Source organism: Homo sapiens, chromosome 3 (assembly GCF_000001405.40).
Source record: "Homo sapiens chromosome 3, GRCh38.p14 Primary Assembly".
Lineage (NCBI taxonomy): Eukaryota > Metazoa > Chordata > Mammalia > Primates > Hominidae > Homo > Homo sapiens.
In genome coordinates, this window is record NC_000003.12 from 55,726,327 (window position 1) to 55,754,213 (window position 27,887).

Sequence of the window (27,887 nt, forward strand, 5' to 3'; positions counted from 1 at the left end):
TTTAACTGTGCTAACCTCCTGAACCATAAAGGGTAATTAAAAGTCATCTGCACATGAAGCACTGAAAGTGTAAATGGGAAGCACAACCGTGGCTTCTAGCAGAGGGGAGAAGAAATGTCTGGCTAAACACTCCACTCAGGTGCTTCTTACTTTCCTGGACAGGACGGGTCTACCTCTGCTGAGATCCAATTTTGACTAGGATTCCATCCTTGTAGGTGGCTCTCCTGAACACATTCCAGGGCAGCCTCTGCCTTCTCCCATTTTTTACCACATCTGCGACTAATCCTTGTAGACTAATCCTTGTAGACAGTCCTATGATTTTCGGACAACACAGGGCAGAGAGGCTCTACCTAAATAGATTACATTACATGCAACTTGTTATGGCCTCCAGAATGTTTACCTAGACATGGGACTTTTTTTTCTGCAAACCCCATGGGAGGGGGATCACAGAGAACCAGGGGACTAGTCTCCTGGTCTTAATGCCTTCCTGCTCTAGCTGACCTATGTGTTTCCTGGTGGCCAAAAGCAATGCCCAGAACTGGTAGGAAAAGGAAAAGAAAACCAAGTACAATTTATCTCTGATCTCAAAAATAGTCTAACTAGTTCTGAGAAATAAGCTGGTTCTCATTTTAACTAAACAATAATGTCTGGCCCTCATTTTAAAAAGGCATGTTCATCAAGGATGTGTGTATCACTACTTCAGCACACAGGGGAGCATTTGAGAATACGGCTTACGGGGTAAGATTTAGTTTTAAGCTTTCTTCAAAAACCCCTTAGTAGCAGGCAAATCCAGTGATTTCAGAATTAATTATTTTGATGTCAGTCCTTTTTTCAAGGGTGAAGAAAAAGAGTTGGGGAGATTGGCTCCAAGACACCAAAAAAGGAAAGGTGGTAATTTTCTTATATTTTTTAGAACTGGCCTCCATAGAAAAAGAACCAAATCAAAATTTAACTGATTCCCAATTGAGGCCCTCTCTCAAAACTGCACAAATCTGCAAGCAAGATTATTTTTAAAAAGAAGCGAAGTAAAAGTATCAGAGGTATGTGCCTGTAAAGAAACAGAAGTGAAAGGAATACAAAAGTTGGATAGTTTTAGATATCTACTCTACCAAACTAGAATCAATCCTTTATCTTTTTTTAATGCAACAAGTAGCAGAAAGTTAATTTGTACTGCTCTTTTACCTTTATACCATGCTCAGCCTAGAACTAACCCAAATGTCAACACCTGAAGAGCATCACAAAGATTCTTTTATTGTTAAGCACAATTGGAATTTCTGAACTCATTTCATATCACTTTTAGCTTTATTGACAGATGTTTAACAAGAGTTAAAACATTTCTAGGCAAATTGATTTATGAGATACTCAGGAGTTTTCAGGGATGAAATGGACGGATTCCCTTCATAACAGCAAGCAATCTCTGCTACTTCTGAGAACTCAGTGACATTTTACTCAAAAAGAGCCCAAGAAATTGGAGGAGATTTGAACTAGAAGAAGGTAAAAAAATTTGGAATAAAAGTCCAAAATTGCCGCCACCCCAATTAGTTCAACCATGGAGAAAGTCACTCTGTAAAAGTGTCTTGCAATGTGGCAAGAAAGGGCGTGGTGCCATTTTGTGGTCATCAGTTGACACACAGGCCTCATCTTCTCTATCAAGCCCTACAGACTGGTGGTGGCTGCCTAGAATATTGGGGTGAGAATTATGAGGCTAAGTCTTACCTACAGGGAACAAGGATCATGATTGATCAATGATGTTTCTTTTCTTGCCATCATGATTTATTCATTCATTCATACATTCAACAAATATTTGCTGAATGCCTACTAGCATTCAGCAAATGTGCTAGCAATTGTGTTAGCAAAAGATAACACAATTATCTCTTAGAGATCAATGATGAGCAAAAACTCATGTTACCATATTCTCAGTCCTTATGGAGCTCAAAAACTAGCAAGGCAGATAGCTATTATTAAAATCATCACAAAACAAATGGAAAATTATATCTGTTACAAGTGCTATAAAATGGATAATACATGTGCTCAAAAATGTCAGCTTGGCAGATTTGACCCAATTGAGCAAGTCCCAGAAGGCTTCCCTGGAGAAGTGATGTTGGACTGAGATTGAATGGATGAGTAGGCATTAACTAGGTAAAGAAAAGAGGGAAAAACATTCCAGGCAAAGGGAAGGGTACATGCAAGATACAGAGCACATTGGTTTGAGTTTGTATTTATCCTAACCCCTAGAGGAGCCTGGGAAGGGTTTTCAGCAGTAAGGACTGGGGGGTGATGAGTGTAACCTGAGATTTATCTTTAGAAAGGATTATGTTTCTGCCCACTGAAGTTTGAAAACAGCTGGCCTGGCCTGGAGGCCAGATGTACTTCTTCTCCTAGGCACAGGCAACCCCCAGTGCAGGCCAAGAGTTGGGGAATGGCTACTCTTGTCTACCTGCATGCCTCTTGACAGCAAGGAAGGTCAAGACTTGTACTCTGACGGCGTGTTGTTGAGACTGCCATAAAGTCACGGAGGGTATTTTGTCATCAGCCCTACTCCCACACTACTTAAAAATCTCGTCAGGTGTGACAGGCAAATTCTGGCATGAGTTCTCTTTTGTGGCCCCAACGGAAGCAGCAGTGTTTCCTAAAAAGGCAAGCCAAGCACCTTGAGACTCCATGGAGGCTGGAGCTAGGGGATGTGGAGAGTGAGCTCACTAGGGTAGCCTTAAACAGGCCAGTCCATAGTAGTGATGAGGGGAGCCCTCCCTGTTCTGAGGCTGCAGAGCTAGTGTATTCTGCTTCCTAACTGCACAGAAGTTCTGCCTCAGAATACACCACTCTTAGCAGATCCTGCACAGGAGTCCTACAGTCTATTCCACCCATTCCCACTCTGACAACTCACTTCCTTGCCTCCTTGCTCACTCTACGCCAGCCATATTGGGCTCCTTGCTATCCCCCAAACACACACGTACACTTCTGCTTCATTCCGTCTGCTGGAAAATCCTTCCCCTAGACATCTAAATGGCTCATTCCCTCACCACCTTCAAGTCCTTGCTCCAATGTCTCCTTCCCAATGACACCCATCCTGTCTACCCTATTTTAAATTGTCACCAGATCCCTGATCCTACCCTGGAACTCCTGTTTTGCCTTATACTAGTCTGTATTTTTCTTCTTTTCTACCATACAATTTATGTATTATGTCCGTTGTTTATTGCCTTTCTCCCCCTATTAAAAAGTAAGCCTGTCTGGGTGTGGTGGCTCATGCCTAACAATCCCCACAATTTGGGAGGCCAAGGTGGGAGGATTGCTTGAGTCTCGGAGTTCAAGACCAGCCTGACCTAGCGAGACCTTGTCTCTTCTAAAAAATAATAATAAAACAAGCTAGGCATGGTTGTGCACAGCTGTAGTCCCAGCTACTGGGGAGGCTGAGGTGGGAGTATCGCTAGAGCCCAGGAGTTGGAGCTTGCAGTGAGCTATGATCGCGCCACTGCAGTCCAGCCAGGGTAATGCAGTGAGACTCTATCGCAAAAAAAAAAAAAAAAAAAAAAAAAAAATTGTAAGCTACACAAGGAAGCGGTCTTTATGTATTTTGGTCACTGATGTATTCCATGCCTAGCACTGTAACACAGAGCAGGCAGTCAATGAATACTCGTTAAGTTGAATTCCAATGTGGCAAACATAGCACTTGGTCTCACCAAGCTGCACACTCCTATTAATTCCCATCACCCTGGACAGGTTGGGAGTCACAAGCTGAACCACTGGAACTGGGTTTCTCTGATGACAGCTGTGAGGTATGGGGGCTGATCATGGCTCACAACATTGCTTTAGGGAGTCAGTGTTCAGCCTAGCCACAAGCAAGGTCTTAGCACTCCTGCAGCACCAGGGCCAACGCTGCACCAGATATGAGTGGTTTGATGGTGATTAAGTCATATAGTCTCTTGGACTTTGGTTTAATCAACTCAAAAATAAGGGTGATGCTTTCCTTATTGGGCCAGACAAAATATCTGTTATAGATGATTCCCCAGCACTGCCAGAGAGTCTGGCAGAGTAGGTAGGCAATAAGTTGGTTGATTATAAGGAAAAAATGAGATGATGTTTGTAAACTTAGGTTACCATAAAGCATTTGGCATAGAGCCTGGAAAGTGGTAATCATGCATTCATTCATACAACAAATATTTACTGAGCACCTACTATGTGCCTGGCAATAACTCAGTCACTTGTGGTGGTCTGGGAAGGGGAGAGATTTTCTGTATACGTTGAGCTCAAAAGGCTACCTGGGCTAGGCAGTGTGGCTCACACCCGTAATCCCAGCACTTTGGGAGGCCGAGGTGGGAAGACTGCTTGAGCCCAGGAGTTTGAGACCTGCCTAGGCAATGTAGTGAAACCCCATTTCTACAAAAAAATACAAAAATGAGCTAGGAAAGGTGGGGCATGCCTGCTGAGGTGGGAGGATCACTTGAGTTCAGGAGGTAGTGGCCGAAGTGAGCTGTGATTATACCACTGTACTCTAGCCTGGGTGACAGTGAGACCATGTCTTGAAAAAAGAAGGCAGTCTGAAGAGGGTGGCATCTCTCATGAGCCAGTCTGCCTCAACATCTGCACAGAAGACTGAGCAGGCCAGAAGGGTGGCCTTCCCCTTTCATTGGCCTGGTCCCTGAAAGAGCTCTGCTCTTCCAAGTCAGCCATGCAGGTCAAGACAATTGAGATCTGGGACTCACCCTTCCAGGACTGCCCTCCTTCACTGATATCTATGTGTGCTGCATATACAAACCAAGTACATGCGCAAGTACAGGCGCTATGGGCCTCTTCAGTGCAGGCTGGGACCTGGGGTCCAGGGTTTCTGACATGTCTGCTCACTGCTCCACAAGTGCTTTGGCTTTAGGAGAGGAGGACCAGGAAGCTTAGGTGTCAACATCTATCTGCTCTTTCTGCCACAGTTGCCACAGCTCAACAATGTGTTCTCAACATGTGCCCAGCTGTTTGCAAAGCAGTAATGATGAAATCAAAATTAAACTACCTCTGAGGGTTGGCAGTGATAATGTCAATTAGTAGTAGTAGCAATAATAGTAACATTAATAGTAATAGTAGTTGCAATAGCAGCTTACACATATGAAGCACCTATTATGTGCCAGGCATATGCAAAGCACTTGGTTTACCTTTCACCTCACAATAACTCTTTGAATTGTTAGCCCAATTTACAGATGAGGAAACTGAGGTTGAAGAAGGTTTAGTATCTTGCCTGTAATCACTCAGATAATAAATGTTAGAAACAGGATTCACCTTAAACAGCTTAACTTTGGATGTCATCTTTTATGATCATTTGGCAAAGGGTCTCCTTAAGCATTATGGTATATCCAACTGTGAGGCTGAGCAAGATACCCAACCTCTATGGGCCTCTGGCTTCTTCTCTATAAGAGTATCAAACCCTCAGTCTTGTTGGGAGGTGATGAGTTGATGTATGTAAAGCCCTTATACCCATGCCTAGTACATGATGAGAGCTCAAAAGTATTAGTAATTGTTGTTGATGTGATCAAATAACCTAAGCCTAAGGACTCCAGGCAGAACCCACTGTTTATGAACAGCTGGAGAACATTCTTAAATGGTTTTTTTGGCATCTACTTTACGTTTATGAAGATAAGGAGGCCTCACAATTTCTGGGAATACCATTCTGCTTGACACTCTGAATTTCTCCCTGAACCTGATGGGGTATGTGTGGAATCCGGTAGACTATCTAAAGCCTGAACCCCATCACTTACAAGCTGTGAGTCGTTGGACTGGTTATTCCACACCCTGAGCCTCAGTTATGCTCCCTAGAAAAGGGAGATAATCCTGCACACACTCACATGGTTGCTGTGAGGACTATGGGACAACATCTCTGAGGGACACTGGATACAAGACCCAGCATGGAGTAAATGCTCAATAACAGGGGGTTATTTTGATAGCACATTAATCATTGTTCTTAGAGTCATTATCATTGGCAATAAGGATACTGAAATTCAGGTGATTTTTCCTGCTCTTTGGTGGGTGGGGTGAGGAAGGATATCAGACCTAAATCACGAAGGAGCCCATCCTCTTCCTTCACTGCATCCTTCTCCACAACAGCCCTTTGGACACTGCCTTAGCACATACAGGAGCTGAACTCTGCGTAGCTGAGGTTTCCCAAATGTACCCCATGACACCAAAAACCAAGCTCGTCGTAAAGAATAAAGGCTTCGTGCAGGTTCCCAGGAACAAACTGAAGGACTATGCTCAATCCTTACTGGAATCAAGAAGTGAATTTTCATGATGCTGGGAAAGAAAAAAGGTAGCCTTAAAAATTCCTTACTGGGAAAAGTAGATGGGGACATGAGGAGCAAAGTATCTAAGAGAAAGAAAGGAAAAATTATCCATTCTGCCTGGTAAGAAGGCTTCTGGCAGCCTTTGCTCTGCAGCTCCACCAAGCTAATTCTGCAAGAGCTGACCCTATCAGGTGGCCAAAGTCTGGAACCATTGGTATATACACAATAAATGAAATGACACTGCAAATCATGATCTAATGCTATCATCTATGGTCTCAGTTTTTATGGCCATAGAGTACTGGAAATCATCAAAAGAGGTGAAGGTCAAGGTTGGATGAGCTCTTATGCACCCCCACCCCCAATGACGGGGGCAAGTGTCTCCTTAGCAGCTGACTGACCTGAGACCTTTGGATCATGTATGCATCGTAGCTGGACCAGTGGTACTTGGCCGTAATATCTGGACTGTGGCCAGCACCACAAGTGCATGGTATATTCGAGCTCAAGGGCTGTTTCTTAGGTCTATAAACCTGTGGGAGAAAGCTACAATGGTTAGGTGCAGGAGAGGAGGGTGCAGGGAAGGAATTAGGGAAAAGCAAAGAAAGACGCTCATTTTGACTTTCTGTGGCCAAGTAGGTGGAAAATCCAGTGTAAAAGATGCACAGCTCCAAACAAAGAGGTCAGGTGTAAGCAATCTCTGACCCCTGAGGCCAGCGTTAGCAAGGCATGCCACTCTGTGGAATGACCCCAGTGTCTGGCAGTGACTGGGACCCTCCCTCTACAAGGAGAGAGTGTTCAGACACAGTAGTGGTCTGTCTCTCTGTCTCTCTTTCTCTCTCTCTCTCTCATTCTCTCTGTCTCTCATTCTCTCTCTCTCTCACACACACACACACACACACATTCTCTGTCTCTCTCTCTCTCTCATTCTCTCTGTCTCTCATTCTTTCTCTCTCTCTCACACACACACACACACACACACACACACACACACACACACACATTCTCTGTCTCTCTCACTGTCTCTGAACAAGGCAGCCCCATGAGAAATGAACTCTGGTGCAGGGTCAATGTATGCCTTTTCCTTCCTGAGGGGTAAAAGGGTTAGTCACATTGTAAGTGGAGGGAACTTATTCCTTCAGGCTTCCCTTCCACTCACCTTGCCCATGGTGCTTGGCACAGATCACTCTAGCAGGCAGAGAGCCTGCCCCAGGGGCTGAGTCAATATGGACACACTCCACATGGTTACTGTGTGGCCATTAGAGAGCTTCAGAGCCACATAAGGCCCTAGGTAAAATGTGGTAGCCACTCTGCAAGGCCATAAACCATTGAGCTGACTGAGTTTCATAATGAACTCGAATCTTAGTGAATATCTTCAATCATTGCTTACAAGAGTCACCAAGTAATATGAGGAGGAGAAATATCATCTGAAAATTTCATGGATGATTTTCCAATATACTTCAGGTGTAATTATTTCCATTTAAGCCACTTCCAGAAAACCTTCCAGAGAGCAAGGAATTTTCTGCACAAGTTAGAACTATGCCCCTGCTTCCATGTCCCTCAAAACAAATACAGTGGCCTAGAGGGGTGAAAACACAGGATAACGGGGCAAACAGGTGATTTTTTAAAAATAGAGTGAAGAATGGCTGGGTGGTCTCTAAGCATAGTCTGGCAGTGCTAGAACCTGGGAGATGCTCCTTGGCTGAAAGGTATTGGAGGAAATAGTCAAAGAACTAAAGTTGAAAGAATAGGGAATGAAACCTAAAAACCTGGATGAGGGCAATTCTTTACAGGGACCAGAAAATGAGCAAGACGGAAGGTAACAGGTCCAACAGGAAAGAATTTTGCCCAGAATTTAAATTATAAGTTTCTAGAATTTAATCAGAAGTCAAACAAAGTCCACTGGAGGAAAGAAAGTTGAGAGCTATTTCTGGGGAGATGACGCTGACACAAAAGAAAGGAAAACAGCACTGGTTGCAAACCACACAAGCCCAGCCACATGCACATAAACACAGAAAAGCAGTAAAATGGTGTTGCAGCGACAACTGGGTCCATTGCACTCCTACCTGGTTTTAGGAGCTTGAGCCCACAGGATGGACATGGGAAAATGAAGAGTGGCTAAAATCCAGAGAAAGCCCCCAAAGCCCCAAACCCAGAAAAACACACCTGTCTTGCAGGAGGCCCCACCTGCTGCTTTAATTGATGTACTAGTCGGTCTTTTTCCCGCTTGAGGGCCATGACTTCTTCCTGCGTCTTTTTCTTTTTGGAGGCAGACAATTCCAGCAAGGCAATGTTTGCATCTTTTTCACTGATGGCTGCAAGTAGTGCTTCCTGTCTGGTAAAATAAAGATTATTGAGATCATTTTTGTAAAATAAAAAAAAAAACAAACAATTGGCATTTATAGTTGAAATGAACCACAGAGTATTGTCTCAATGGAAAGAAATTATGAATACTACTTAAAACAAACTAGCTCTTTGGCTTTCAGAATGGACAAAGTAGTTTGGGTCAGAATCCCTGAGACTGCACACTGCAGCCACTGAGAGAGGAATCTTTTAATGGCTTCACATGTTATAAATGGGAAGGGACAAATCTGAGCATTCATTGCTGACACATTTATCCACCCATCCAACCAAACATACATATATTCATCTATCCATCCATCAATTTGCCAAGAGTCTTAGTCTGTTTTATGTTGTTACAAAGTAATGTCTGAGACTGCATAATTTATAAAGAAAAGATGTTTATTTGGCTCATGATTCTGGAGATTGGGAAGTTTAAGGGCATGGTGGTAGCTTCCAGCAAGGGCTTTTGTACTAACATGGCAAGAAAAGTAGAAGGACAAGTGAGCAAGTGTGAAAGAGACCAAAGTAGAAGGACAAGTGAGCAAGCGTGAAAGAGACCACAAGATCAAGCAAAGCTTCCTTTTATAACAACCTGCTCTCTCAAGAACTAATTTACTCCTGAGACAAGATAATTAGTCCATTTGTGAGGGCTCCACCCTCATGATCCTCATGATCTAAGCACCCCTTAATGCCCCTGCCTTTTAATACTGTTATATTGGTAATTAAGTTTCCATCATATGAACTTTTGGGGGATACATTCAAACTATAGCACCAAGTAAGCTTCTAGATACTCTGCGAAAACCCCCCCAAAACTGGGTAGCAATTTCACCTATTACTTTTTTAATGCAAGATTTTCTTTTGAAGGCAGGCAGAGAAATTTACTGGAAACCCTGTTCTATTTTCAATGCATTTAGTGATGCTCCTTTGCCATCCCACCAAAAACGATTACTTCCTCAGCCTTCCTTATTTCAGTAATTACACTACCATCCACTAAGTAGTGCAAACCCTGAACTTAGAAGTCATCCCTGAGTTCTTTCCTTCTTTCTCTATCCAGAGCCAATCCACTGACAACTTCAGTAGGTTTTACTTGAAAGTATGCCCCTTATCTAAACTCATGCACTACTATAAAAACATCTACGAACCATCAGCATCACTCACTGGGGACCACTACAAAAGCTTACTCATTGATCTCTCTGGTAAAGAGAGTAAAGTCATCTTTCAAAACATTATAAGCCCAGATTCCACCATTCTATTGTGTAAAGATCCATTGCATCACTCTTTAGACTTGAAATCCAGACCTTTTATTGATGCTTGCAACACATTACGCTAATCAGCCATGACAACCTCTCTGAGGGCCTCTGTTCCTCTTCTCCTTCCTCAATCATTAGGCTCCAGCACATTTCGTTCCAGGTCTCTGCTAGTCCTCAAAAATGTTACCCTTGTCCCCTCACATCACAGGCTTTGCCTTTCTATGCTTTTGCCTCACACAGCTCTTATCTTCCAGGTCTGTGACTGACCACTGACTTAGACCACCTCATGTCCAAGTCGGTCATCTGTCACATTACACTACTTCATTTTTTTTATAGAACTCTTTGCCATTTGATAGCATCTTATTTATTATTTGCTTTCTAGACTTGACGCTCCATGAAATTGGGACCTCATCGATCTTGTGCACCACCAATTCTCAAGCTTCTAGAAGATCCCTCAGCACATAGCGAGTGCTCAAAAATGTTAGTTCAAGGAAGAGGTAAGTTCATTTTTTACTTTTTACAGACTTTTAAAGATATCACCAGACACCTCTTCCTCTCATTTAAAAAAAATTAGAATGCTTTGCTTCCTGCTTAACCTACAGTCATCGCTTATTCAAAAAGTTTTAAAGTTGCCTCCTTCAATCTTTACAGTATAATTTTATGACCACATCTGTCACAAATTTTAACCTGGAATTTTCTGGGATGATTTTTGCGTAGGAAATAGCTCTCCTGGGTGTGTTTCACTGAATCTTCCTTTCCACTGGGAAAGTCTTATCTCCACCATTTGTGTCTCTTCTGAAACATTCTAGACACTTTGGAAGACCCCACAGCCCCAAGGAAGCCTCCACATTGGGAACTTCCCTCGCACACAAGGCCCAGGACTAAAACCTGGTCATGATCCTGTTTTGCCTTTCTTTAATCTCCATCACCAGACCAGGCCCTCTCCAGATGTTTGGACAAGGTGGTCATTATTTGGATCTCAGATTATTCCCCTTTTCACTGCAGGGATTTATATGGAGTTTTCTGGGCCCCACTAATGCCTGGTAGTAGGAGCTTCTGTTTGAAGCTCACGCAGATGTGTGAGCAGCAGAACATGTCAGGAAATATCTCCATTTTCCAGAAGAAAAGCAGTGCAGGCTGGACTACCGGCAGCAGCATTAATATCCAGCTTCACAGAGCCTGTCTGCCTTTGGATAACAGCTGAGACAATAGACATGCTTGCGGCTCCCAGCCAGTGCATATTTATACAGAGGGCGAAGCTGAAGAGGCTATACAGACTTTAAATCGGGGAGAGCCTATTTGCTATCTGCTATTCCAAACTTTAGCTACAACACACAAGGTGACTGCAATATTTTATCCCCTCTGTTGCAAACTGAAATATCTAAGTGAAGCTTTTTTAATGAAAACAAACTAAAGGACCGATATTAGGAAAATTGGGGATTGGAGGTAAATTGACTACACCTCTACAACGGCATCTTTACAGACATATGCAGGTATTTAAAATGCTGATTAAAAAACCTTAGTGATGTGAAAATATTTATGTTTGTTGAGAAACAATTCTCTATGAGTCTCTCATGTTTCTGTACATTTTACAAGCACAGGCACTATTTTCTTTTATGACAAACTTTCAAGGCCGTTTGTATAGTGACTAGCTTTGAAAGACAGAGGTGGTATTTCTTTTTGGATCAAAGGGAAGACACGCTTACTGCCCCATATAATAGTGTCTCCTTCCAGAGCAAAAGGCAGGCATGTTACTGCCCATTATAAAATATTCAGATTCTCTAATCTCAGGGTTGCCCTCCTATAATACAAATGACTACATGTATGTGTTCATCCAGTCCATCCGACTGGCCTCCATGGGACTTGGAGCTAGGAAAATTGACACAAATATACTAATTCTTCACTCTGTGCCATGAGCAATAAAGTCCTTTATCTTTGGCCCAGAAGTCTCTTGTCATCTGCCTGCATCCATGGAACTGAGGCAGGCTAACTTGTTAGGATGCCAGTAGGGAAGATCTCAGACCCTTCATAGTTTTCGACATACAAATGTATATATATCCAAGATAATCCCTAAAACATAAAGCTATACTCATAGGAAAAAACAAGGACAGGAAGGAAGTATACCAAAATGATAATAATCACCATTTCAAGGTGACAGGATGAATAAGACATTTTTTAACTTTTTTCTGCTTATACTTTTAAGCATTATTCTTAGAAAATATCCTAAGAGTAAACATTTAAAACTTGTAAGTTAAGCTTTCGGTCATCAAGTAAACAGCAGGTACATGGTTCAAAATCTTAGCAGGTATATAATTTGCTCATTTTCCCACCCAGGCTATCTATAATATGTTCTGTCTGTCCTTCCATTCTTCATGCACAGATAGGCACACACACATATTTTCACACACACACAATGTCTGATACAATCTACATCATCTACCACTTGGAAAACTGTAGTAGTCTCCGAACCAGACTCCCTGTGTCTACTTTCAGCCTGCTTTAACCCATTTTCCTTTTCTACGTCAAAATTTGAGATTATATAGCTTTAATCACTGTCAAAAGTCATCATCAACCAAAAAACAATCATTTTTTAAAATTATTTTACTTTAAGTTCTGGTGCACATGTGCAGAATGTGCAGGTTTGTTACATAGATATATACATGCCATGGTGGTTTGCTGCACCCATTAACCCATCATCTACATTAGGTATTTCCCTAATGCTCTCCCTCCACTAGCCCACCAACCCCTGACAGGCCCCAGTGTGTGATGTTCCCCTCCCTGTGTCCATGTGTTCTCATTGTTCAACTCCCACCTATGAGTGAGAACATGCAGTGTTTGGTTTTCTGTTCTTGTGTTAGTTTGCTGAGAATGATGGTTTCCAGCTTCATCCATGTCCCTGCAAAGGACATGAGCTCATCTTTTTTATGGCTGCATACTATTCCATGGTGTATATGTGCCACATTTTCTTTATCCAGTCTATCATTGATGGGCATTTGGGTTGGTCCCAAGTCTTTGCTATTGTGAATAGTGCCGCAATAAACATACATGTGCATGTGTCTTTATTGTAGAATGATTTATAATCCTTTGGGTATATACCCAGTAATGGGATTGCTGGGTCAAATGGTATTTCTGGTTCTAGATCCTTGAGGAATCGCCACACCGTCTTCCACAATGGTTGAACTAATTTACACTCCCACCAACAGTGCAAAAGCCTTCCTATTTCTCCACATCCTCTCCAGCATCTGTTGTTTCCTGACTTTTTAATGATCGCCATTCTAACTGGTGTGAGATAGTACGTCATTGTGGTTTTGATTTGCATTTCTCTGATGACCAGTGATGATGAGCTTTTTTGAATATGTTTGTTGGCTGCATAAATGTCTGCTTTTGAGAAGTGTCTGTTCATATCCTTTGCCCACTTTTTGTGGGGTTGTTTTTTTTCTTGTAAATTTATTTAAGTTCTTTGTAGAATCTGGATATTAGTCCTTTGTCAGGTGGGTAGATTGCAAAAATTTTCTCCCATTCTGTAGGTTGCCTGTTCACTCTGACGATAGTTTCTTTTGCTGTGCAAAAGCTCTTTAGTTTAATTAGATCCCATTTGTCAATTTTGGCTTTTGTTGCCATTGCTTTTGGTGTTTTCGTTATGAAGTCTTTGCTCATGCCTATGTCCTTAATGGTATTGCCTAGGTTTTCTTCTAGAGTTTTTATGGTTTTAGGTCTTACATTTCAGTCTTTAATCCATCTTGAATTAATTTTTGTACAAGGTGTAAGGAAGGGGTTCAGTTTCAGTTTCCTGCATGTGGCTAGCCAGGCTTCCCAACACCATTTGTTAAATAGGGAATCCTTTCCCCATTGCTTGTTTTTGTGTATGATTCTAAAATTTAGGCTTTTAAGCTTTAACACTTATTTATCCTCTCATAATACCATAAAAAATCCCAATGAATTAATTTCTAATTCTCACTTTACTGTCAGAGAAAAACATATATCAATTTCTAATTCTCTATAAATGTCATTAAATACAGTTCCAAGTCAAATTAGCCTTAATTATCAAATCTCAAAGTACATTTAAAATCTTTTTAATAAAATTACATTTAAAGCCACTCACCAACCTTAAATTAATATTCATATAAAATAATCTAGTTTGCTCTTTGTAACCTTCTCCTTATTGTATTTTTGTTTTATTTTGTTTTGCTTTTGGCTAACAAATCTATTTTTATAGATATTGGCATTATATAATCATAGAACTCTAAATAAAATTAGTGTAACTAAGATTATCTATATTTTGAAACCCTCATTTAAATACTGGCCATAAACTAATGATATTTTCCCCAAAAATACCTTGATTGAGATCTACATTCAATAATTCTAGTCCATTTAAATCAAAGGGTCATTAGTATAAGATAAAAAGGTATATAAAACTAGAGAAATAAGAACATTTCATACTTCAGGATATTTGGCAAGGTATTCTGAATATGTTAAGGCTTATCTGGCTATTACCTATTTGTATAGATTTGGCAGGCCTAGAATTAAACTAAATCTTAATTCCAGGCTAACAGAGCCATTGAATTTGGTTTTTGAAGCAAGAAGTTTTTAAAACTGAGTTAAAATACCTCTTTCTTAAGCTAATAGAATTTAGCTAAGACAGGTTGAACATCCCAAATCCAAAAACCCCAAATCCAAAGTACTCCAAAATCCTAGATGCTTTGAGCACCAACAGGACATTCAAAGACAATGCTCATTGCAGCGTTCTGGATTTTTGGATTTGAGACACTCAGTTGGTAAGTGTAATACAAATATTCCAAAATCTGAAAAAAATATGAAATCTGAAATACTTCTGGTCCCAAGCATTCCAGATGAGGGATACTCAACCTGTAATTTAAATCACTGTGAGCTAATTATGTATAGTTATGGGTTTTCATTATCCCTGCCTTAAAGGTCAGATTTGTTTTGAGGATGGGTATACTGAATATAATTTTATAAAAACGAATTTCATTTTGCTATCCCTACGTCAGATTCTACACTTTCACAGTTCCCATGAGCCAATTTGCTGATACATTGGCAGAAATCACCTACCAAGAAAATCACATTGAAATAGATTAGGAAGCTTACATTAAATATCCTTGCTTTTTTTTTTCTCGCGGCAAATTTTGGTCCAGCCATTGAAAAACTGGAAAAACTAAAATACCACCAGTTCTGATGCACCACTTTTTTTTAAAGGCTCAAGTTTAAAGAGTATACCAGTGACAAGACACTTGGATATAAACCGGAAACAGAAAAATCATTATTTTCCCCAATGAAAGCATTACCTTCTAGAATCAAGACCAGATTTATATTGCTTCAGAAATTATTACTGTCCCATCAACCTGAAGAGAGTTCCATAAGCCTGAAATCATGTTCAATCTATCCCTTTTGCCTTTTTACAGACAACACGGAAAGTACATATATGCCCATTCTTAGACAGTTAGTAGGTTTAAGTATATACCAAAGGCTTGCAAAATTATCTTGAGAACATTGCCATCCTCAAGTACCAATTACTAAGGTGATCTGTCTATGCCCCAAAATGTAGCTTAAAATATGAAAAGGAAGCCCACATATACTAGGAAGGAAGATAAGATAATGTGAAGAGAAATAAATCTATAAAAGTCTGCTGAATGCCAAGCTAAGAAAGTGTATCATAGACAGCATTTTATCAACGTGCAGCCTAAACAAATGTCAAGGGGAATAATTTCTTTAACAAATATGGGCAACAATAGAGGAAAAAAGGGGGAAATTCTGTGCCCTGTCATACATTTAGTCAGGATTAACAGTGGATAAAAATATGTGCAAGAACACATTTAATAACCCTAAACTGTCATTCAGTGTGTAGGAGGTAGTCAAGATACAGCTAATAAAACACCAAAAAAAATGGTTTTAGCCACCCTGAAAAAAAAAAAAACAAAACCTTCCATGGAATAAAACAAAACAGGGCTGAAGGGCATCTCCTGCCAAGATAAATGCCTTCTTTTGAGTGTCGCCTGTGGCTAGCCCTCACAAAGAGAGTTCCAGGATCCTCTGATGGTAATACATGGCTACCTCACTTATCACAGTCCATTTAAAAGGGAGCTTTGTAAACATTTCTACTTCACTCCCCATTGCTGTCGTTCTATTAATGATGATTTGAGCTCTGAAAGAGGATCTAAAATTAATTTCAGGAGTTGCAAATGAGGCAGGCCAATTAGGAACTATTACAAATTGGATTTGGGAAGAAGCATTAACACATTGTTTCTTGTGGGTTCTTGTTTTAGTTAGCTGACCCATCTTTAGGAATGCATTCAATTACAAAAGCAGATGCTTAAAAAATGCATTCCATTAAGAATGTTTGGATAATGACATATAAGAGAAAGCCTACATTATGTATGGTGCTTAGCCCAGGCAGTCATGTTCTAATCATATTGTGGGGGGAAAAAGTCCGCTCAATCAACTTTTCTCAGCTAATTACTATTTTCTTTCCCTCATGACCCTGAATATTCAACTGTAAGTTCAGTAGGAGGTGACTTCAGACAGATGGTGACGAAAGATCCTATTCAAAACAGCCTCTCTCTCACCCTTGGGGTGAGGGTTGGGTGGAGATAGATGTTCATTTGCCTAAATTTTAAAAGCTGTGTTTTCAAATGGCATCTTGAGAAAGAAAAGTTCTTTGATATCAATTAATATCAACCCTACCCACCAGCAGAATGATGTATGATATATGCAGAAGGGGCCATGCAGAAAGCAAAGCAGCTCACATGAGGTGGGGCCCACAGGGTGAGATATATTTGAACAAGCATGAGTTTCAGTAAGGACAAAGAACAGACCAGATTCGTAAAGGCCAGGCTTTGGCAGCCCAGACTTCTTAATGTGGTTTGCTCCCTGTTGCCCACCTAAAACTGACCTCAAAAAAATAGTTTACTCCAATTACGGAGAATTCTGTCTTTGAAACCTAATAGCACATGACTGGAATTTCCTAACACGGGGGCCATGGAGTCTTGTGGAAGTTCTTTACTCTAAGCACCAGCTTCTACCCTGTTCCTTGCTCAGTGCATGAGCCAGGGAGGTGGCTGGCCCATCCGGCGGTTCCTCCAGTTTCTCCAACTGGACCAGAACACTCTCAAGTGCCAACGTCATGTGCTTCAGGGCACTAAGAGGGCAAATGCCAGCATCATTTGGCATCCTGCTACAAATCAGTAAGTCTGAAGCCAACTGATTTTCCCACATAGAAAAGGTCCAAGGCCAGAGGAGGAGTGCCAGGAAGAGCTATTCCCCCTATTCTAAATGTTTCTCTTGAATCCTGTCCTTCTAGAGAATTGATAAAAAGGCAATGAAGGATGGGAGGGACCATTGTCCCAGGTCTTGGCAGTGGACATGTGTGAGGCATTGCTCATTACTATGTGCCTGATCCACCAAAAAAAAAAAAAAAAAAAAGAAACAAGAAAAAAAGAAAATACTTCTTTTGAGCACTTTAGCCTATTATGATTTTTTAAAAAACATACCCACACAAATGAAATATTACTCAAGTTTTTAAGAGGAGGAGGTACTGATCTTTATTTAGTGCTGGGGCTTTGGAAGCAAATGTACCTGAGTTTGAATCTCAGGGATAACCTTTTGACTGTGGCCCTGGGTAAGTTACTCACTGTCTCTGAAACTTCAAGTTCCTCATAAATAACCTAAGATGGACAATCATAACTCTCTCTTGGATTGAGGTAGGAGAATATGGTGGAGGCAGGGAACCGAAGGCCATTTCACTCCAACTTCCTAGAACTAAATTAAAAGGAAAACCCTAATTTTCCATGCCTAAGTAACAAAAGGACCAAAGGTTACTCCGTTTGCAAACTCCCACCTTTTCTGCATGGCAGATGGGAAGTTGGCTGTCTGCAACCAATCAGACTGATTGCCAGCCCAGTCTTCATTTGCATAGAAGTGCAACTTTGTGGCCAGGCATGGTGGATCATGCCTGTAATCCCAGCACTTTGGGAGGCCGAGGTGGGTGTATCACCTGAGGTCAGGAGTTCGAGACCAACCTGGCCAACATGGTGAAACCCCATCTCTACTAAAAATACAAAAAATTAGCTGGGCGTGGTAGCGGACACCTGTAATCTCAGCTACTCAGGAGGCTGACACAGGAGAATCACTGGAACCCAGCAGGGGGAGGTTGCAGTGAGAGGAGGTTGAGATCACACCACTGCACTCCAGCCTGGGCAACAAGAGGGAAACTCCATCTCAAAAACAAAAACAAATATGAAAAAAACAAAAAGCAAAACAAACAAACAAAAAGAAGTGCAACTTTGTAACTTCACCTTAGCCTCTGATTGGTTGCAACCAATCAGATGTTTGCACAGGAATGTGACCTTTGTAACTTCACTTCAGGCTCTGATTGGTTGCTTTCAGACCGATTGCGGGCCACCGCTTCATTTACATGAGGTGAGCACCAAGTGGTCAATGGGAAACTTCTAGGAGGTATTTGAACCTGAGAAGATTCTGTATCCAGGCCCTGTAGCCACTGCTTGGGCCTGCTCCCACCCTGTGGAGTGTACTTTCATTTTCAATAAATCCCTGCTTTCATTCTTTTGTTGCTTTATTCTTTCCTTGCTTTGCTTTGTGTTTTGTCCAATTCTTTGTTCAAAACTCCAAGAACCTGGACAACTTGCAGTCAAGACCCTCTACCGGTAACCGGATCATCGTGAGAATTAAGGGATCACGCATGTAAAGATTTTGTTCAGTGCCTGAGATGACCACACAAGAAATGCTAGCATTTGCTTATTAAATGACACAGACCCCACCAAAGTTAAAGATTCAAAGGTTTTGCATTACTTTCTATGAGCTCCCCTTTATAGTGAATATATCTAAACATGCTCACTGGTCTCTTACTTTCAAGACAAACTTTCAGAGAGGCCTTTAAAATTGGTTTCTGTTAAGCTGCACATTTGACTTTCATGAGTTGACATCTGCTCCATAAACAGACATAAAGAAGAAAACAGACTTTGGAGAGGAGTCTGCTGACCACAGAAGAGTTGCATCCCAGACAAGCCAGGCTTGACTTGGTCTATAACTGTCCAATATCATTCCATCCAAATTGATAGGAAAGGCCACGTGGGAAATAGGCAAGACATGATGTCACATAGTTTAAGAAACTGAGAAATGGAAATGTGTTCTGAAAGGCGACTTTTAAAAAGTCAAAGTCAAGTGCAAAATCAAACAAATTCAAAATAAAAGATTCTTCCATTGGAAAAAAATATTTTAAAAAATTGGTAAATCTAGGAAGCAGGGAGGGTGAGTGAAATGAAGGGACTTCCATGACATACTGCAATACCCTCTGTTAGTGGTAATGTTAGATGATGGTGCTTGGTCATTCTTGTTATTCCCGTTCAGTAATAAGAAAGCCTCTCTGTTGACCATTCAATTCTGCCAAGGTAGCTTTCTATGTGAAATACACCTAACCAGAATCTCTGGCAGGTTATAGATGAGTGATAATGAGAAAACCAAATACATCTGGACTTCACTGCAGGACAGAGCTTTGTCCAGTATCTGCCTAAACTAAACCTATTGTCCATGGGTGATCAGTTACTGTCAAGAGACTGTCGTATTGCATTAACTTTTTGGTTGGAAATGAGTAACTACCAGAAAATAGGTCACTGACATCAAGGCTTAGCCCCCATAGCATCCAATCAATTATTTTTTTCTTATTGGTGAAGTGAGGTTATGTGTGTGTATATATGTAAGTCTCTCTAAAAACAATATGTTTTAATTTCGCCTCTATTGTATATTTAAAGCTGCTAATATTTATTTCTCAGTCTTTGCACAGAGCAGCAAATTGTCCGCCTACATCTTGAACTACATATTTCCCTTCTTAATTTGAATATTTTGTGTTAAATCAAACCTTCCATTGTTTATGTTTACATGGAATAGAACATTCCCACAGGCTAAATTGTAATACAAAACAAAACAGATCGTCATGCCATTGCTGTGAGAAGAATATGTGCAGAAGGGGGCACATTCTGGAATTCTGTTAGCGCAACATTCAAATAAAATTGAATTAAGGTTCTGTGGAGTGGATTTTTTTTTTTAAATGAAGTCTTGCTCTGTCACCCAGGCTGGAGTGCAGTGGCATCATCTCGGCTCACTGCATCCTCTGCCTCCCGGGTTCAAGCGATTCTCCTGCCTCAGCCTCCCGAGTAGCTGAGATTACAGGCATGCACCACCATGCCCAGTTAATTTTTGTAGTTTTAGTAGAGACGGGGTTTCACCATGTTATCCAGGCTGGTCTCGAACTCCCGACCTCAGGTGATCCGCCCACCTCAGGTGATCGGCCTCCCAAAGTGCTGAGATTACAGGCATGAGCCACTGCACCCAGCCTGGAGTGGATCTTTGTAGAGAGAAAAACATAAAAGTGAGTTTATTGGAGGCAGCTCCTTTGAGAGAGTTTTAATTCATGAGAAGGGAAAAGGCAGTTGTGCTTCTGCAAAGGAGAAGGAAACACAGGGTGGCATGTCTGTGTGTGCTGCAGGTGATGGTGGTAGCCAGGCAAAGGGCAGGTTTCTGCGAGGGGCAGGAAGGTCTGATCCCTTCTGGGAGAGGGGCTAAACAGATTCCCATCTGTTTATCAAAGCTGTTGATTCAATGTTAATCAAAGCTGTTCTCCCTTGTTGTGCCTGCCACAGAGCTGGACAGCAATTCAAGACAACCTAGAGGAGACATTTTGGGAGGGTGAAGGAAACTGATGGCTTTTAAGGCATCCTCAAAGATGCTCAAAGATGCAATTCTTCATGTAAATGTCTAAATTACTTTGTGAAGTCTGGATTTTAGGTCTGCCATCTTGTGGCCATTGCAATAAATATTGCCCTTTTCAATTTTTTTCTGTAGTTACATCTCTAATAATCTATATTCAGAAAAGGTACCAGAAAGAATGCTTATTTAAAAAAATAAACATTACACATGGGAGAGAGATCCATGATTCAGGGGGAGCTAGGACATTTCATATTCAAATCCCCATTCTGCTGACATTTTTCATTCTTTGACTAAAGTCTAGTTTCAAATAATTAGCTATCAAATTATCATTTAATACAGGATTGGGACTACTAAGAAGTCAGTTAAGAGGTGACAGGGAAGTTTTAGGTGCCTGTTTTTTTTTTAAAGAGGTCATTTAATGGACACAGAGTTTCTTCCAAATGAATGACAGTCTCAGCATTTCTGTACTTGCCATACATTTGCTAAGAGAACACCCAGAATAAAATAGATTGTCAAACCAAAGGGGGCTTCATACCTGAAAACTAAGGGAAATTGCTTTTCTGGAAATAACTGAAAGTCCAAATGAGTGAGATTAGAAATACTTTATTCCACGCCGTAAGGAAAAGAAATGAGACAAAATTTATAATAGTTCTGTGTTGGGAAGAAATGGTTAAAACGCCACTATGAAAACACACTAAGCCTATCTAATGCACACTCATTAATCATGATCTTGTTGATTGTGTCAACAGAACAGAAAGCAAATACATGTGGCCATTGCCTTTGCAAAGTTTCACCAATGCATCACAGCCTTCAAATGAAGAGGAGGCACAAGAGCATACTCAATGACCACAAATTAATTTCAGAGCCCAAGTTACAGAAGTATAGAACTATGCGTCTACATACATACACCTGAAGCCTTGCACTGCTAAGCAACGGTTCAAAAGACAGGCCAAACAAAGAGCTGCAAGACTCAGCTTATGTATTCCTAAATTATAAAAAGTTATATTTGTTAGTTACCTGAAATTTCTGGACTCATGAATACAATTTGTGGGATGCTACTGGAGTGCTCCTTCCCAGAGTTTGAAGGAACCTGAAACCAGACAGCAGCTGCAGAAGGAAAGGGTCTGGTAAACTACCTGGAGGAGCTCCACATCTGGAAAGAATCGCAAGGGAGCCAGCCCAAGAAACAATGGTATAGAAAGCAGTCTCAGATTTACAGGATGGGTGGCCTTGTGGCTCACAGAAGTGAAATTTCCACCCTGGGAGGAGCGATTACTGGAAGCAGGAACATTTCAGATATGAAATTATGAACTCCAACCTGAAGCAGCTAAACTGAATATGTTCCTCTAGGGTGGCTATTTACTGGCCACATAAGCAAAAATAAACCATCCAGGTGGTCAGAGGCAGTTCATCAATTTCTCCAACTCATTCACCACATATTTACTGAGTGACCACTGTGTACCACGTACCAGGGATGAATGGGGACAAGCAAGACAGAAACCATCCCTGCTTCTCTAACAGCAGAACTCAGAGACTGCTACCACAGCAGAACCCAGAGATTGCTACCACAGCAGAACCCAGAGATTGTCCACAGTCATGAGACAGACAGACCCTGTGATGATGCCACCAGACACAAAGAAACACCCTTCTATTACCATCATGAGCAAATGCTGGATCATCAGCAATACCGTGCAAAGAAGATATCCCTGAATCCTGTTTCCCAATTCAAATGCTGGGCAAAGAATCCATGTGGCATTTCCCTCTGCATGTATCAAATACTAGGATAATCAATTCAAAAGCTCCCTCCCAGCCCATCCTCTTCATCCCGAATGCCTAGTATAATCCAGTTGCAATCAGAAGCTCAAAATAAACAAATAAACAGAAACATGAAACCTCATAGTCATAGCTACTAGGCCGAATAATACGAAGTTCAAGTTCACTTTTTTATGGGTCAGAAACAATTGAATATCAGAAATTTTGTATGGTTCAACCCAATAGTCTTCCAAAATACAAGGAGTTTTATTGGTTTCTTTGTTTGCTTACAACACATGCCCATAGATCATTTTAAATCTTTATAATTTTATATCCTCAGAGATGTAAAAGGTTGAGGTAATTCCCTCTCCACAATATTCAACATACACCCAAGACTGACCACTAGAGGTAATTAACCCAGTCTGCAGAAGGCCTTTTGCACAAATTGGAGGTGGGGGAAGGAGGCCTAGGAACCCAGAGAAGTGACAGAACTCAGTCCTGTAAAAGAGGCCCCCAGGCCTGGAAAACCACTTAGTGAGAAAACATCCTGGTGACCAGACTCCAACCTGACACTGACTACCACTCCCTGCAATACCGATCTGTTGAATGCTGAGATCAGACCATCTATCTCCCTGGACAACCTTGAGGCTTCCCAGCTCCACTGACCAACAACAAAGCACCCCTGCTTAGATTTGAACTTCAAGGCATGGGACATAAGGCAGGGGTCAAGGAAGAATGGGGCTGGAGAACCCTTAAGGTGAGAGGTGAGGCCAGCTGGACTTCCTGGGTTGAGTGGGGACTTGGGGAACTTTTCTGACAAGAGGATTGTAAAAAGCACCAATCAGGAACTTTTCTGTCTCACAAGAGGATTGTAAAATGCACCAATCAGTGCTCTGTAAAATGCACCAATCAGCGCTCTATAAAACGCACCAATCAGTGCTCTGTGAAACACACCAATCAGCAGGATTCTAAAAGTAGCCAATTGCAGGGAGGATTGAAAAACGGGCACTCCGATAGGACAGAAACAGAACATGGGCGGGGACAATAAGGGAATAAAATCTGGCCACCCCAGCCAGCAGCGGCAACCCACTTGGGTCCCCTTCCACGCTGTGGAAGCTTTGTCCCTTCACTCTTCACAATAAACCTTGCTACTGCCCACTCTTTGGATCAGTGCCATCTTTAAGAGTTGTAACACTCACTGCGAAGGTCTACGACTTCATTCTTGAAGTCGGTGAGACCACGAACCCACCAGCAGGAGCCAACTCCGGACACAAAGGGATTCAAGATCCCATTGAAGAGGGGCATAATGAAAAGATATCTTTAAGGATGACTGCATACCTATAGGTGGTGGCTTAAAAGAGCAGTCTAATGTTGTTAACCAGTGTCTTAATTTCTACCATTTTCAAAGAGAATTTACTATGGACAGAATACGATGCTACGTGTTATGAAGGATCAGCAATGGGTAAGGCTTGCAAACTGATCTGGTAAAGAAAAAGACTTAAATTATATAAAGACTTAAATAATAAAATAAAAGATAAATAATAGTTTATTAACATCTTCATTGTTAAGATACAGGATAAGAAATTGTTAATAATTATTATTTTGATTACTATATGTATAAGCAAGGCATAAGTAAAGTACGTTGTTTCATTTAGTCTGCTCAAAATAGCCTTCCAAGAGAAAGTTTTATTACACCCCTTGTAAAGTTGAGTAAACTGAGACTGTAATATTTAAGGTTGTCCAAGGTCCCATTGCTTTTAAAAGGAGAACTGGAATTTGTATCCAAGTCTGTGATGTTAAAGACTAAACTTGGCCCTTTCAATTCTTGGTTGCAGGAAGGAAGAAATGTCCCTTTGGTCCGGGATGATGGGGGCAGGCTTCACAGAGGATAAGGGTGACAGCTGAGTATGAAGGGAGGGTAGGAATGGAAGGGCTCTGGAAGGAAAAGAGTGGCTTCCAGATGGGGTAAGTGTCTGATTGAGAGTTGAGATGATTCAGTCGATTAAAATTCTCTTTTGCTTACTTATGCCTGTTCCTAGTTGCATAACTTTCAAGGATGCTAGAATACCACCACCAAGGAAGAAATGTGGTCAAATAAAGAATGCCTTAAGTGCCAACGGAAAGACTGGTTTGGCCAGTGCTGACGTTTTCACGCATGCCCGCATGCACACATGAGGATGTAGGAACATTATGTGTAAGTTGTTTTCTGGGGAACAGCAGCTTTTTATTGTGACATTCAGTAATGTCCTTTCTAATGTTTGGAATTAAAATGACCCTTTCTCAAATGATGATGATAATAGTTAACACTTGAATAGTCTTATTTAATAGCTTAATTAGGTTAGCAAGCATATGTTGTTGGCAAAAAATATTTTTTCCTATGATTGGTCCATGACTTCCACGGTCTGGAAAACATTCACGTGATTGCTGCATGTTACTATCAGGGTATGTGTGAGGAACATCCTCTTCTGTTCTGCATAGGTAAGGGCTTTCCTTGTGAAAAGTGTTTGGCACTTCCAAGCTGGCTGCCTTATAAATGCCATGTTGAACCCAAATTGTTTGTACTGAGTGACCGTCCCTTTGCCAATGTCTGTTTCCAATATGGTATCTTTAGGATATAAGTGGAGAATAATCTCTTTATTTCACAAATAGGCCCCATCAGACAAGAGCTCGAGCTCCAGGTCCTTCTAGGGGTCTTCAGTGACCACAGAAGGAAAGAAAAGCTGAGTTGGTCAATGCCAATCTTTAGGAAAATTATTTCTAAAGGTGGCAAGAAGGGCCTAGTGTAAAATATGACATACTCTGCCTCTCTTTCGTTTGTTCATTTTGTTGGATTTTAGCACAATATGTATATATATATTGGTGGAATATGAATGTGGGAGTAATCAGCAACAGAGAAGACTTGGGAACATGGTAGTTATCCCTTCAATTATCTGCTAGAGTAACATAGATGAGGCTTGCTCCAGGGGCACCCTAAGATTTGAACTAGGACTTAAGGATGAAAGTCACAAGTAGGTAAGGCTGAGGCCAAGTTAGTAACAGGAGCAACTCTGGCTAAGTCAGAGCTGTCAGCAATGGCCTGGGCTCCCTCATACCCATCTCTGACAGTGTTGGTACAAACAACAGAAGGCAATGTCGAGAAAATCCCAGGGAAATAATTCTAACAATGGAGGAATGATGTGACTAAACACATGCTTTGGTTGGGTTTATTTGGATTGCAAGCAAAAGAAACTAATTCTGGCTAACTTAGCAAAAAGAGGAAGTGTTAGAGGGATACTTGAATAAACTGAGGAAAAGAAAAGAGCTAACAAGTGAGCTTTAGGAGGGTCAGTGAGAAAGTTGCTCCAGTACCCTCAGTAGCAGGAAATCCTAAACCTTTCTTCAGAAGACCTACTGTTTACAGAATAACTTTGTTACAACCTCCAGGCTTAATGGAAAAAGAGTAATGTTTGACCTTCCTGGAAAGAAAATCTGTTAGCCCCACCTAGGTCAATCAGTTATGGCCTGATTTCCCCATCACTAGAAACACACCCTAAATAATGGGATCACACCAAAAGAAAAAGGGACAGCTATGAGCTGAGGGTCATCCTAATTGGCAGCTCTCTAATGATCTTACAGCTAAGGGGTCTATTTCTATGGTGTGCTGGAGCTGGCTGCTAGCTAGCGAGAGTCAATTATGTGCATCTCCTTCCAACTGACAAGGGTCAGCCTGTACCTTGGCCATGGTAGAAGTATTTACACGATGGAAATTGGCAATCACTACCAATCAGGGATTTTGTTTTTTCTATTGACCTGGTTTACCAGCGCTCTATTGGCCTGTTTCAAGATAATTGAACAGTTTTGCCAAGACTGCTGAACAAGGGACAGGCCATAGAGCCTACAATAGGAAATACATAGCTAACACACACCAGCACATTTTCTGTGCCAAAGACTATACCATTCTAAGTCCTTTATGTGTACTAACTCATTTGAGCTGCACAACAATCTAATGAGGAAGGTGCCATTATGTTCCCATTTGACAGATAAGAAAAGAGAGGCAGAAAGGAGTGAATTAACTTACTCAAGTTTACATGGCTAGTAGATGGCAAAGTAGAGATTCGAACCCGGGTATTTATAATTTTATGTCTCAAAATAAAATAGATTATGTCTAGCATTGTTCTAAGTTGAGATACTCTTGACACAGAAAAAACAGATTCACTTTGAATCAAGTGAGAAGTTGGCTGAATTCCGATAAGAGGACCACCCCCTCAGTCACAATGCTGCCGTCAGTAAGAGCAGCCGACCGCAGCTCTACAACTGGTGCTCGGATGTTTATTTCATTTGATTGTATATTTATTTCATTTCTAGGGATGCCCAAGGACTGAAGCCAAATCACAAAGTTGCTAACCAAGTCCATGGGGAAGAGAGAGACTCACAATGCACACTGCTGGAACTCCCCAAGTGGGTGACAGCAATACTTCAGAACTCGGTGGGCAGAGCAGATCACATGGTTGCTCCTGGATGGGCTGTGATTTCTCAATTCCAGTGAGAAAGGGGAGAGAAGTCTGAACCTTCAACATACTTCCCCCCAATCCCACTGCCAATACTATAAGGCATAGAAAACAGAAAACAGGGGTAACATAGAAAGACAGTCATCCAATTTTATATATGTGCCTTTGACAAGTCACTTGACTTTACGTATCTTAGCTGTGGGAATCTATAAAATAAAAATGATATTACCTACCCCCGAGGTCACTAAGAGGTTCACAGAAGATCCCCCACAGGAAAGCATCTGGAAAACTGCAAAACCCCACAGGAATGGTGGGCATTACTATCAGGGGCATCCCTACTCACAAAGCTGTGGCCCCCTGGGACCCAAATGGTGATGGTGCAATTGGATTCATTTGAAACACTAGCTGGTATGGACACACCATGTGCTAGGCACTGCTTCTATTGACTAAGCCAAACTCATCAAGTTGGTGTAAAATCACCAGTCCGAATGGCTAATGGGAATTTCACTGGGGCAAACATAAATTCACGAACGGAAAACGACTATCTGGAGGAGGCACAAAAGAGTTTTCCTTTTCCAGTGGTTCATTGAGAGATCTGACAATAATCCATTGGCAAGAAAGAGAATGGCTGCTTCTAAATAAACTTAAACAATGATCAGTTTTTCTAAATGCACCAAACTTGCAATTAATATTTGTTGAATCAATGAATGGGATTCCACAAATCTGGGTTTAAATTCTGGTTCTGCACCACTGCCATTGGTGTGATTTTGGGAAAGCTAATTAACTCTTTGAATCTCAGTTTCTTCATCTGTAAAATGAGAATCCTAATACACTTATGAGGTATTATATAAGATAAATATGTAAACCATTTAGCACATTTAGTTGGTTGTATAACAAGCAGTTATTATTATTATAAATGCAAGCTATAGTTATTTTTTACCATTACTATGAGTGTGGTTCATTAAGTTATTATCGGCTACAAGATAAATATGTTCAAATCACCGATCTCTACAGATAAGAAAACTATTTTTTTTTTTGAGAAAACTATTTAAAAAACCAGG

The 27,887-nt window shown here is 41.1% G+C and overlaps 1 protein-coding gene across 20 annotated transcripts in view; it reads right to left on the reverse strand.

Annotated features, from left to right (window-relative positions):
* The window catches only part of ERC2 (ELKS/RAB6-interacting/CAST family member 2), a 960,157-nt gene that overhangs the window by 218,016 nt on the left and 714,254 nt on the right, over window positions 1–27,887 (reverse strand). For 14 of the 20 annotated variants that reach the window (NR_132749.2, XM_017006156.2, XM_047447950.1 and 11 more), the window contains one exon: window positions 8,445–8,592. Coding sequence is in view for 19 of the 20 variants with exons in the window: in XM_017006156.2 (XP_016861645.1) it covers window positions 8,445–8,592 (148 nt within the window). In the remaining variant the exon portion in view is untranslated. Of the gene's footprint in view, window positions 1–8,423; window positions 8,593–27,887 lie in introns of all 20 variants that reach the window. The other 6 variants (XM_017006148.2, XM_047447948.1, XM_017006146.2 and 3 more) reach the window with 1 other exon arrangement.